General features: G+C 38.7%; 1 protein-coding gene and 1 pseudogene across 4 annotated transcripts in view; one reads left to right on the top strand and one right to left on the bottom strand.

The window, feature by feature from the left end:
- Nucleotides 5,136-9,946, top strand: PRKCIP1 (PRKCI pseudogene 1; annotated as a pseudogene).
- ARMCX4 (armadillo repeat containing X-linked 4) overlaps nt 8,594-13,581 on the bottom strand; it is a 117,711-nt gene continuing 112,723 nt past the window's right edge. For 3 of the 4 annotated variants that reach the window (NR_045864.2, NR_045862.2, NR_045861.2), the window contains exons 12-13: nt 12,570-12,938; nt 8,594-11,498 (exon numbers count right to left, since the gene is read on the bottom strand). The gene's annotated coding sequence lies outside the window, so the exon portion shown is untranslated. Of the gene's footprint in view, nt 12,939-13,581 lie in introns of all 4 variants that reach the window. The other variant, NR_028407.3, reaches the window with a different exon arrangement.

The following is a 13,581-nucleotide window of genomic DNA, read 5'->3' as shown; positions in this document are numbered from 1 at the left end:
TGATTTGGCTCTCTGTTTGTCTGTTGTTGGTGTATAAGAATGCTTGTGATTTTTGTACATTGATTTTGTATCCTGAGACTTTGCTGAAGTTGCTTATTAGCTTAAGGAGATTTTGGGCTGAGACAATGGGGTTTTCTAGATATACAATCATGTCGTCTGCAAACAGGGACAATTTGACTTCCTCTTTTCCTAATTGAATACCTTTTATTTCCTTCTCCTGCCTAATTGCCCTGGCCAGAACTTCCAACACTATGTTGAGTAGGAGTGGTGAGAGAGGGCATCCCTGTCTTGTGCCAGTTTTCAAAGGGAATGCTTCCAGTTTTTGCCCATTCAGTATGATATTGGCTGTGGGTTCGTCATAGATAGCTCCTATTATTTTGAAATATGTCCCATCAATACCTAATTTATTGAGAGTTTTTAGCATGAAGGGTTGTTGAATTTTGTCAAAGGCCTTTTCTGCATCTATTGAGATAATCATGTGGTTTTTGTCTTTGGCTCTGTTTATATGCTGGATTACATTTATTGATTTGTGTATATTGAACCAGCCTTGCATCCCAGGGATGAAGCCCACTTGATCATGGTGGATAAGCTTTTTGATGTGCTGCTGGATTCGTTTTGCCAGTATTTTACTGAGGATTTTTGCATCAATGTTCATCAAGGATATTGGTCTAAAATTCTCTTTTTTGGTTGTGTCTCTGCCTGGCTTTGGTATCAGAATGATGCTGGCCTCATAAAATGAGTTAGGGAGGATTCCCTCTTTTTCTATTGATTGAAATAGTTTCAGAAGGAATGGTACCAGTTCCTCCTTGTACCTCTGGCAGAATTCGGCTGTGAATCCATCTGGTCCTGGACTCTTTTTGGTTGGTAAGCTATTGATTATTGCCACAAATTCAGATCCTGTTATTGGTCTATTCAGAGATTCCACTTCTTCCTGGTTTAGTCTTGGGAGAGTGTATGTGTCGAGGAATTTATCCATTTCTTCTAGATTTTCTAGTTTATTTGCGTAGAGGTGTTTGTAGTATTCTCTGATGGTAGTTTGTATTTCTGTGGGATCGGTGGTGATATCCCCTTTATCATTTTTTATTGCATCTATTTGATTCTTCTCTCTGTTTTTCTTTATTAGTCTTGCTAGCGGTCTATCTATTTTGTTGATCCTTTCAAAAAACCAGCTCCTGGATTCATTAATTTTTTGAAGGGTTTTTTGTGTCTCTATTTCCTTCAGTTCTGCTCTGATTTTAGTTATTTCTTGCCTTCTGCTAGCTTTTGAATGTGTTTGCTCTTGCTTTTCTAGTTCTTTTAATTGTGATGTTAAAGTGTCAATTTTGGATCTTTCCTGCTTTCTCTTGTGGGCATTTAGTGCTATAAATTTCCCTCTACACACTGCTTTGTATGTGTCCCAGAGATTCTGGTATGTTGTGCCTTTGTTCTCACTGGTTTCAAAGAACATCTTTATTTCTGCCTTCATTTCGTTATGTACCCAGTAGTCATCCAGGAGCAGGTTGTTCAGTTTCCATGTAGTTGAGCGGTTTTGAGTGAGATTCTTAATCCTGAGTTCTAGTTTGATTGCACTGTGGTCTGAGAGATAGTTTGTTATAATTTCTGTTCTTTTACATTTGCTGAGGAGTGCTTTACTTCCAAGTATGTGGTCAATTTTTGAATAGGTGTGGTGTGGTGCTGAAAAGAATGTATATTCTGTTGATTTGGGGTGGAGAGTTCTGTAGTTGTCTATTAGGTCCACTTTGTGCAGAGCTGAGTTCAATTCCTGGGTATCCTTGTTGACTTTCTGTCTCGTTGATCTGTCTAATGTTGACAGTAGGGTGTTAAAGTCTCCCATTATTAATGTGTGGGAGTCTAAGTCTCTTTGTAGGTCACTTAGGACTTGCTTTATGAATCTGGGTGCTCCTGAATTGGGTGCATATATATTTAGGATAGTTAGCTCTTCTTGTTGAATTGATCCCTTTACCATTAAGTAATGGCCTTCTTTGTCTCTTTTGATCTTTGTTGGTTTAAAGTCTGTTTTATCAGAGACTAGGATTGCAACCCCTGCCTTTTTTTGTTTCCCATTTGCTTGGTAGATCTTCCTCCATCCTTTTATTTTGAGCCTATGTGTGTCTCTGCATGTGAGATGGGTTTCCTGAATACAGCGCACTGATGGGTCTTGACTCTTTATCCAATTTGCCAGTCTGTGTCTTTTAATTGGAGCATTTAGTCCATTTACATTTAAAGTTAATATTGTTATGTGTGAATTTGATCCTGTCATTATGATGTTAGCTGGTGATTTTGCTCGTTAGTTGATGCAGTTTCTTCCTAGTCTCAATGGTCTTTACATTTTGGCATGATTTTGCAGCGGCTGGTACCGGATGTTCCTTTCCATGTTTAGCGCTTCCTTCAGGAGCTCTTTTAGGGCAGGCCTGGTGGTGACAAAATCTCTCAGCATTTGCTTGTCTGTAAAGTATTTTATTTCTCCTTAACTTATGAAGCTTAGTTTGGCTGGATATGAAATTCTGGGTTGAAAATTCTTTTCTTTAAGAATGTCGAATATTGGCCCCTACTCTCTTCTGGCTTGTAGGGTTTCTGCCGAGAGATTCGCTGTTAGTCTGATGGGCTTCCCTTTGAGGGTAACCCGACCTTTCTCTCTGGCTGCCCTTAACATTTTTTCCTTCATTTCAACTTTGGTGAATCTGACAATTATGTGTCTTGGAGTTGCTCTTCTCGAGGAGTATCTTTGTGGCGTTCTCTGTATTTCCTGAATCTGAATGTTGGCCTGCCTTGCTAGATTGGGGAAGTTCTCCTGGATAATATCCTGCAGAGTGTTTTCCAACTTGATTCCATTCTCCCCATCACTTTCAGGTACACCAATCAGACGTAGATTTGGTCTTTTCACATAGTCCCATATTTCTTGGAGGCTTTGCTCGTTTCTTTTTATTCTTTTTTCTCTAAACTTCCCTTCTCACTTCATTTCATTCATTTCATCTTCCATTGCTGATACCCTTTCTTCCAGTTGATTGCATCGGCTCCTGAGGCTTCTGCATTCTTCACGTAGTTCTCGAACCTTGGTTTTCAGCTCCATCAGCTCCTTTAAGCACTTCTCTGTATTGGTTATTCTAGTTATACATTCTTCTAAATTTTTTTCAAAGTTTTCAACTTCTTTGCCTTTGGTTTGAATGTCCTCCCGTAGCTCAGAGTAATTTGATCGTCCGAAGCCTTCTTCTCTCAGCTCGTCAAAGTCATTCTCCATCCAGCTTTGTTCTGTTGCTGGTGAGGAACTGCGTTCCTTTGGAGAAGGAGAGGCGCTCTGCTTTTTAGAGTTTCCAGTTTTTCTGTTCTGTTTCTTCCCCATCTTTGTGGTTTTATCTACTTTTGGTCTTTGATGATGGTGATGTACAGATGGGTTTTTGGTGTGGATGTCCTTTCTGTTTGTTAGTTTTCCTTCTAACAGACAGGAGCCTCAGCTGCAGGTCTGTTGGAGTACCCTGCCGTGTGAGGTGTCAGTGTGCCCCTGCTGGGGGGTGCCTCCCAGTTAGGCTGCTCAGGGGTCAGGGGTCAGGGACCCACTTGAGGAGGCAGTCTGCCCGTTCTCAGATCTCCAGCTGCGTACTGGGAGAACCACTGCTCTCTTCAAAGCTCAGATGGAAATGCAGAAATCACCCGTCTTCTGCATCGCTCACGCTGGGAGCTGTAGACCCGAGCTGTTCCTATTCGGCCATCTTGGCTCCTCCCTCCTACATTAGGTATATCTCCTAATGCTACCCCTCCCCCTCCCCCCACCCGACGACAGGCCCCTGTGTGTGATGTTCCCCTTCCAGTGTCCAAGTGTTCTCATTGTTCAATTCCCACCTATGAGTAAGAATATGCGGTGTTTGGTTTTCTGTCCTTGTGATAATTTGCTCAGAATGATGGTTTCCAGCTTCATCCATGTCCCCACAGAGGACATGAACTCATCATTTTTTATGGCTGCATAGTATTCCATGGTGTATATGTGCCACATTTTCTTAATCCAGTCTATCATTGATGGACATTTGGGTTGGTTCCAAGTCTTTGCTATTGTGAATAGTGCCGCAGTAAAAATACATGTGCATGTGTCTTTATAGCAGCATGATTTATAGTCCTTTGGGTATATACCCAGTAATGGGATGGCTGGGGCAAATGGTATTTCTAGTTCTAGATCCTTGAGGAATCGCCACACTGTCTTCCACAATGGTTGAACTAGTTTATAGTCCCACCAACAGTGTAAAAGTGTTCCTATTTCTCCACATCCTCTCTAGCACCTGTTGTTTCCTGACTTTTTAATGATCGCCATTCTAACTGGTGTGAGATGGTATCTCATTGTGCTTTTGATTTGCATTTCTCTGATGGCCAGTGATGATGAGCATTTTTTCATGTGTCTTTTGGCTGCATAAATGTCTTCTTTTGAGAAGTGTCTGTTCATATCCTTTGCCCACTTTTTGATGGGGTTGTTTGGTTTTTTCTTGTAAATTTGTTTAAGTTCTTTGTTGATTCTGGATATTAGCCCTTTGTCAGATAAGTAGATTGCAAAAATTTTCTCCCATTCTGTAGGTTGCCTCTTCACTCTGATGGTAGTTTCTTTTGCTGTGCGGAAGCCCTTTAGTTTAATGAGATCCCATTTGTCAATTTTGGCTTCTGTTACCATTGCTTTTGGCGTTTTAGACATGAAGTCCTTGCCCATGCCTATGTCCTGAATGGTATTGCCTAGGTTTTCTTCTAGGGTTTTCATGGTTTTAGATCTAACATGTAAGTCTTTAATCCATCTTGAATTGATTTTTGTATAAGGTGTAAGGAAGGGATCCAGTTTCAGCTTTCTACATATGGCTAGCCAGTTTTCCCAGCACCATTTATTAAATAGGGGATCCTTTCCCCATTGCTTGTTTTTCTCAGGTTTGTCAAGGATCAGATGGTTGTAGATGTGTAAAATTTACCACCTTTTTTCTTTACATTTTTGAGGTTTGTGTCCTGCTTAGGGAGATCTGTATTTTCTTCTAATTTTTATGTTTCCTTTTATATTTAAATTTTTGGTCCATACGGAATTATTTTCTTCCAAATGGCTAGCAAATTGTCCTAATGCTAATTATCAAATAATCCCCTCTTTAGCTCACTGATTTAACGTGCCATCTTTGGGCTGCTTGGGCGAGGCGACCCTTGGGTCGGCGTTGCGGGTGAGGTGGGCAGGTAGGTGGGCGGATGGCCGCGGTTCTCCGACAGGCGCGGGCGGCGGGGTCTCCCACGGCGTCCGAAGCCCCCTCCCCGCACCCCCGGCCTCCAGCGTTGAGGCGGGGGAGTGAGGAGATGCCGACCCAGAGGGACAGCAGCACCATGTCCCACAGGGTTGCAGGCGGCTGCAGTGGGGACCATTCCCACCAGGTCTGGGTGAAAGCCTACTACCGCGGGGATATCATGATAACACATTTTGAACCTTCTGTCTCCTTTGAGGGCCTTTACAATGTGGTTCGAGACATGTTCTTTTGACAACGAACAGCTCTTCACCATGAAATGGATAGACGAGGAAGGAGACCCGTGTACAGTATCATCTCAGTTGGAGTTAGAAGAAGCCTTTACACTTTATGAGCTAAACAAGGACTCTGAACTCTTGATTCATGTGTTCCCTTGTGTACCAGAACGTCCCGGGATGCCTTGTCCAAGAGAAGATAAATCCATCTACCGTAGAGGTGCACGCCACTGGAGAAAGCTTTATTGTGCCAATGGACACACTTTTCAAGCCAAGTGCTTCAACAGGCGTGCTGACTGTGCCATCTGCACAGACTGAATATGGGGACTTGGATGCCAAGGATATAAGTGTATCAACTGCAAACTCTTGGTTCATAAGAAGTGCCATAAACTCCTCACAATTGAATGTGGGCGGCATTCTTTGCCACTGGAACCAATGATGCCCATGGATCAGTCATCCATGCATTCTGACCATGCACAGACAGTAATTCCATATAATCCTTCAAGTCATGAGAGTTTGGATCAAGTTGGTGAAGAAAAAGAGGCAATGAACACCAGAGAAAGTGGCAAAGCTTCATCCAGTCTAGGTCTTCAGGATTTTGATTTGCTCCAGGTAATAGGAAGAGGAAGTTAAGCCAAAGTACTGTTGGTTCCATTAAAAAAAAAAAAAAAACAGATCGTATTTATGCAATGAAAGTTGTGAAAAAAGAGCTTGTTAATGATGATGAGGATATTGATTGGGTGCAGACAGAGAAACATGTGTTTGAGCAGGCATCCAATCATCCTTTCCTTGTTGGGCTGCAGTCTTGCTTTCAGACAGAAAGCAGATTGTTCTTTGTTATAGAGTATGTAAATGGAGGAGACCTAATGTTTCATATGCAGCGACAAAGAAAACTTCCTGAAGAACATGCCAGATTTTACTCTGCAGAAATCAGTCTAGCATTCAATTATCTTCATGAGTGAGGGATAATTTATAGAGATTTGAAACTGGACAATGTATTACTGGACTCTGAAGGCCACATTAAACTCACTGACTACGGCATGTGTTAAGGAAGGATTACGGCCAGGAGATACAACCAGCACTTTCTGTGGTACTCCTAATTACATTGCTCCTGAAATTTTAAGAGGAGGAGATTATGGTTTCAGTGTTGACTGGTGGGCTCTTGGAGTGCTAATGTTTGAGACGATGGCAGGAAGGACTCCATTTGATACTGTTGGGAGCTCCGATAACCCTGACCAGAACACAGAGGATTCTCTCTTCCAAGTTATTGTGGAAAAACAAATTCACATACCACGTTCTCTGTCTGGAAAAGCTGCAAGTGTTCTGAAGAGTTTTCTTAACAAGGACCCTAAGAAACGACTGGGTTGTCATCCTCAAACAGGATTTGCTGATATTCAGGGACACCCGTTCTTCCAAAATGTTGATTGGGATATGATGGAGCAAAAACAGGTGGTATCTCCCTTTAAACCAAATATTTCTGGGGAATTTGGTTTGGACAACTTTGATTCTCAGTTTACTAATGAACCTGTCTAGCTCACTCCAGATGTCGATGACATTGTGAGAAAGATTGATCAGTCTGAATTTGAAGGTTTTGAGTATATCAATCCTCTTTTGATGTCTGCAGAAGAATGTGTCCGATCCTCATTTTTCAACCATGTATTCTACTCATGTTGCCATTTAATGCATGGATAAACTTGCTGCCAGCCTGGATACAATTAACCATTTTATATTTGCCACCTACAAAAAAACACCCAGTATCTTCTCTCGTAGACTACATGAATCAATTATTACATCTTTTTTACTATGAAAAATAAATTAATACTAGCTTCCAGACAATCATGTCAAAATTTAGTTGAACTGGTTTTTCAGTTTTTAAAAGGCCTACAGATGAGTAATGAAGTTATCTTTTTTGTTTAAAAAAAAAACAAAGAAAACCACTGCATTTAAAAAGTATCAGTTGCATTAAGGCACATAGTGGGATTACATCATAAACCTCCCATAATTTTTGTCATTCTGTGTTAAATCACTTCAGGGTTTAATTTTGAAATAAAAGATTAATATAAAATGCAACAACTTTTTATATTACCTATTAGTTTTGGAGTTCTTTATGTTTAAAAATTCGGGTGTAAATTTTATTGCCTTGGATAAATAAATTATCGATTTTTTAAGGCAGCAGTTACTAAATTGGTAATAGAAGATGCTGCTTGCTTAAAATTGGGAAATGCAGCTGGGTGCAGTGACTCAACGCCTGTAATTCCAGTACTTTGGGAGGCTGAGGCGGGCAGATCACTTGAGGTCAGGAGTTCGAGATCGGCCTGACCAACATGGTGAAATCCTGTCTCTACTAAAAATACAAAAATTAGCTGGGCATGGTGGCGCATACCTGTAATCCCAGCTACTCGGGAGGCTGAAGCAGGAGAATCACTTGAACCCAGGAGATGGAGTTTCCAGAGAGCCAAGATTACTCCAGCCTGGGCAACAGTGAGTGAGACACGGTCTCAAACAAAACAACAAAACAAAAACCAAATTGGGAAATTCTTCTTGAGTTAAAAAACAGACACTTTTTATTATGAATCAGATTGCAAATCATTAACTATTTTTGCAAAACTGGCACAAGTGATTTTTCTTTTTAAGTATATTAACGGGGTAGCTCCTGAGCCTATCCATTTATTGGAAACTTTAACTGCAATGTTAATATATATACTGCAAAAGACCAAGGATGCAGTTGAATGGAAGATTACTCAGTATATAGAAAGGAAAAAAACAGAAATTTAAAATAGATACAGCAAAGTACAGTGGTAATATTTTTATTTCCTATTGGAGAGTGAATCCCCACAGTTGCTTTTGTGACTTGATTCAAATGAGGCACTCATTATTGTTATCAAACTTGTAAAAGCATTCCATGTATTCAGTGGAGGCAGAATGTATAATATTTTTTCCTTACAATTTAGTATACAGGAAAATTATTTATTTTTAAGTAGGGTATCTTAATTATGCTCATTTCTCCCCCTAAACCACATTATCTATATGATTGGACCCTGTTTATAGAGTCTTTAGTGAAATCAGAAAAATCAAGTAGGCATGAATAAATGTTCAGGACACACACATACACTCACACACGTCACAGTATCAGCTCTTTCAGTGAGTTTTTATTAACTGGATAACACATGTAACACATAGTAGAATACATTTCAGAGGCAGAGTTCCTTGGATTATTTTTTATTAATATTAGTGTTTAGCAGTTTATTTAAGGGGGTGCCAAATATAGCATCCTTCTGTTGTTTATTTTAAATATTTTTTAATGAAAAGGGACTTAAAAAGTAACCATGATCATCTAAATTACTTAAAGTTTTTTAATCTTAGTAAAACTTAATTTTAGGAAAGTGTCCTAGTTTAAATTTCAAATGTTTCAAAATTTGTAGGCATTTAATAAATTATCTTTTTTTGGAGGGGTGGATGCTACATTTCATTGGAAATGTCATTTTTCCAAAGTTTCTAGCTGTGTACTCTCTTTCCTTCAAATAACATAAGTCTGAAAGCAATGAAAACCTCAAAGGAAAATGTTTATATACATGCACATGTTTATTTAATATGTTTCTCTTAACATCTGAAACTTGTTTTAAAACAAAAAGCAGTATTCACTTCAAATCATAAACTTAGAATTCTGTATCTCATGTCAGAAATATGTTATGGCCTTGCTTTTAAGTGGTGCTGTTTCCCACAGGGCATTAGTTCTCAGATTTTGGAATGTGAAATAATCACCTAGGAAGTTTGTTTAAAATGCACACTAGTGGGCCCACCTTAGACTTCTTTTGGAGCCTTCAACTTCACTTTGAGAAACACCTTCTTCAGGTTATTCTTTATGTTTGTCCTGTGGTTAAATATTAGAGTATTCATGATAAAACATTTTGAGAGGGGTAAGCAGTGAGTTATTACCCACAATTTAAAGCAAATTTTGAATGAATCTTTAAGTTGGGTGTCTACCTTCCCACCAGCCCCCCAAGAAAACCTCTCAGTAGTTTCTATCAATAATGTGCAAAATGATGAGCATTTTTCTATGATGAGGTTTTAACCATTATTCAGGGTGGTCTTTATGGTGTATATTTTATACAGAAATGCATTATAAATGTTTTTAATTGTGTTCTGTTTTTTGCAGTCTTTAAGTGCCATGCCAATTGTTTTTATATTCTATAGAAGTTCGCTCAAAATACTCAACAGGGGAATGCGCAGCGGACAGTCAGAATGGTTGGAATTTTGGCGTTCTAAGAAAAACTACTTTGCATAAGCATGTGGTCAGATCATTTTGTGCATATGCAGCCTGGATTGGATGTTAAGTAAATGCTTGTTCAGTGCCGATACATTTACTTAAATCTGTTTTTATTTTTGTCATGTAGAATACTACTGGGGTCATCACAATGTAATCTGTATTTCTGTACCTTTTTTTTTTACTTCGAAGTCTTTAAATTAAATGTATAATACCCAAAAAATAAAAAATAAAGTGCCATCTTTACCATAATTATCATAATCTAAACATCCACATATGTTTGTATCTATTTCTTTATTCTTTATTATATTCTTTTAATCTGTTATCTTTTCTTTCTTCTTAAATAACAAACTGTTTTAACTATAGTATCTTCATAATATGTTTCAATATCTGAAGGGTAAGGTCTCTCATAACTCATCTTTTTTATCATTACCTGCCTGTTCACATGTATTTATTTAGAGACTAAAATCTGTTATTTTGTTATAGTCCCCTAAAAACTACCGTTTTTAATTTCAATTTGTGTTGCACATAATTTATAAGTTAACTGAGTGATAATTGGCATCTTTACAGGAATATCTTTCTATCCAACAACCCAGTTTTTCTACTTATTTGTCTTTATTTTTCTCAGCAGTTTCTAAATTTTTTAAATAAAAATAACTCCTAGAACATTGCCTGGCACACTGTAGGTTATCAATCCATATTTACTGAATGAATGGATATGTCTTACAGATTTTTTTGTTAAGTTTATTCAAAAGGAGCTTATCTTTTCCCATGGCTATTGTAATTTAGATTTTTTTTCTTATTTTACATTTTGTTTGTTGTTTTTATATATGAAAGTGATCAGTTTTTATTCTATTGATTTCATAACCAGCCTTTTTATGGAGTTCCAAAGGTTTCAAGTAGTCTTTAGTTGATTCTCTTAGATTTGCTTCATTTGTGGTAATGATAATCTTGCCTGCCCCTTCCTTTCCAATATCAATATTACATTTCTTTCTCTTGGTTGACTGCATTAACTAGTACTTCTAGAACAATGTTAAATAATTGTGGAAATAACTGGCATTCTTGTCTTTTTCCTAATTTTAATGGAAATGCTTCTAGTGTTTATCCCTTAAACATGAAAGGCTTCTTGTTAGAAATGTATATATTTTTGTCATATTTAAGAAATATCCACCTATTCTTACTTCAGTGAGTTGCATCCAGAAGTTATCTGACTTTAAGTACAATTTGATTAAGATTCTGCTTCATTTTTCTATAATTTTCTCTGCTATACCCTTCCTTACATGAAAGCTTTATCCTTGACTGTGCATTCTAATGGTATCAAAATAGCTGCAGTAATTCTAGGCCTCACACCAGCACCTCAGTCAGAGTCCTAGCCAGTAAAAAAATCTAAATCAGATGGTTCAAGGGACTTTAATGTAGGGACTACTTACAGAGGTATATGCAAGATTATGAGACCCAACAAGCAATTTTGTGGCACCCAGAGGTTAGCAATAGCAGGTAGCTGTTACCCTAGGCCTAAGAGGGCAAGAGGAAGAAATAGTATTTCTGGAGCCTAGTGAGAGCTAGAGTCATGGAGGAGGGGACTTCTGGAAGAAGCTAAAATCTTGAAGGGATGCAGTCCCTGCCAATAAAACATAGCCCAAATCAGAGTGGGAGCAGTGAAGAAATACATTGTCTTCTCTCTTCTTCCCTCCAAAGCTGTGCCAGGGCATTCCATTGACCAAACCCAAGCAGAAGTCAATTACAAATGGAGTCTGGGGGATGCAGTCCCTAAGGATCAGCCGCCCAGGGCATAGAACAAGACAGAGAAGGACAGGAAATGAATCAGGATGTGTGGGAAAATAAAGACTAACCACCATGGCCCACTCCTTTCACATTCAGCATCTATTCTTGTTATTCTATTCTCCCAACAGGGAGGCAGGGACAAAAAAAATCCCATCAGCCACCGTACTGTCACGGGATAATGCTAATTCAATCATATTCGCCCACCTGAAACCTGATTTATAACAATTATCTCAAGTATTTTTCATATAATCAGAGGAAAGGAAGAGAAAAATAAATTAACAAAGATGTGCATAGCTGTTACAGTTTCCCACTGAAGCTGATCATGAGGCCAAAGTCAATAATCAACTTCATTCTTCTACCACCCATTTCATATTCCCCTTACAGAAACCTGGTCAAAATTATTTCCCTGATGTAGTGACCCTAATCTTCAATCCTGTATTTATTGAATTTCTGCACTTTCCCACTTCCCAGGACTATTAGGCAAAGCAGTACTAGGAGGTGCCCCAGTGAGTATCCCTGGGCTCTGAGCATTGCTCTCCCTGTTTGTATATCAGCAACCTTATTTCCCCTTAGTAATTGGGCTCAATCCCTCTAGCCACTATAGCAGCCCCTTTCCCTGCCTGTCAGTTCAGTGGCACGAGAGGACAAAAATGGCCAGAATGTAGTCTCAGCTTTTAATATAATGGAACCATGGCTTTATTCCCTGGTGAAAGCATTCATCCCTGATATACCTAAGAGCCCAAGGTTGTGGAGACAGAAAAAAAGAATCACATACTTCTTCAGTAGGTTAACTGGTGCAATAGTGAAAAGGGCCACTGCTTTCATGACTTCTTTATTCCTAGTCCTGTGTAACCTCACTATGGGGAAAAAAAGCACCATATATGGGTGGCTCTGTTAAAGCATCTATTGCAATCTTGTCGTACAGTACTCCCAGGAACAGCTGATCCCATAACTAAGCTTCCAGTAAGTTATTTATTTTTGTGTAAGGCAAGCTGCTTCTGCATGGTAAAGTAAGTAGTAAAGACTAGTGAATCTTTGGATGTGCACTTCACTTACCATTAAATGAGTTCCTTGGTCAGAGACAACTTTGTGTAGGATACTCTGATGATGATTAAGGCATTCTGGAAGTCCATGGAGATGGTGATGACAGAATCATTGTCAGCAAAGAAGGTAAATGTGTGTCTAAAATACATATTCATTTCCATGAGGAAAAGTTTCTGTTTTCATGATGATGAAAGGTGTCCCATGTAATAATCCTAACACCATGGGACTGGCTGATGCCCCTAAGGAATGGTGTCTTATAAAGGCTCATCATCTTCTCTGTTGTCAGGTTGGGCACTTAGTATTAGTACAAGATCAGCCTTGGTGAGTAGAAGTTCGTGTTGTTGAGTCCAGGCATAGCTTCCATAATATCGATGCTAAAATCTAGCAAAGATAACATAGACATAAAAATATGACTATTTGCACTATTCTATTATTTTGCCACAGTACTAGCTTGAATTTACTACTATTCTATTTTGGATATTTACATCTATAGTTCTAAGTTAGACTGACCTCTCATGTTTACTTTTTTACTTCTATTCTTCTTTGTTTGGACATAAGCATTATGTTAGCCTTAGAGAAAGAATTAGGTAAATTTCTACATTTTCCTAAGCTCTAGAACACTTTAAATTGTATAAGAATTATTGAATCCTTGACAATTGTTGTTGTGGGAAGAATAATGGCTCCTCAAAGATGTCTACATATTGGAACCTGTGAATATGTTACCTCATATAGCAAAAGGGACTTTGCAGATGTGATTATGTTAAGAATATTGAGATAGGAAGATTATCCAGTTCTATCTGGGTGGGCCCAGTGTAATCACAGCGTCCTTGTAAAGGAAGGAAGGAAGCAGATGAGTCAGAAAAAGATGTGACAATAGAATCAGGCAGTGAAACAGTGGAATTCAGGCCGCCTGTAGAAGCTGGACAATGCAAGGAAATAGATTCTCCACTAGAGCATCCAGTGGTAACACAGCCCTTTCAACCCATTTTAGTCTTCTGACCTCTAGAACTGTATGATAATAAAT

Source organism: Homo sapiens, chromosome X (genome assembly GCF_000001405.40).
Source record: "Homo sapiens chromosome X, GRCh38.p14 Primary Assembly".
NCBI lineage: Eukaryota > Metazoa > Chordata > Mammalia > Primates > Hominidae > Homo > Homo sapiens.
Note: the sequence above shows the minus strand (reverse complement) of the source record. Positions and strands in the feature narration are given on the sequence as shown.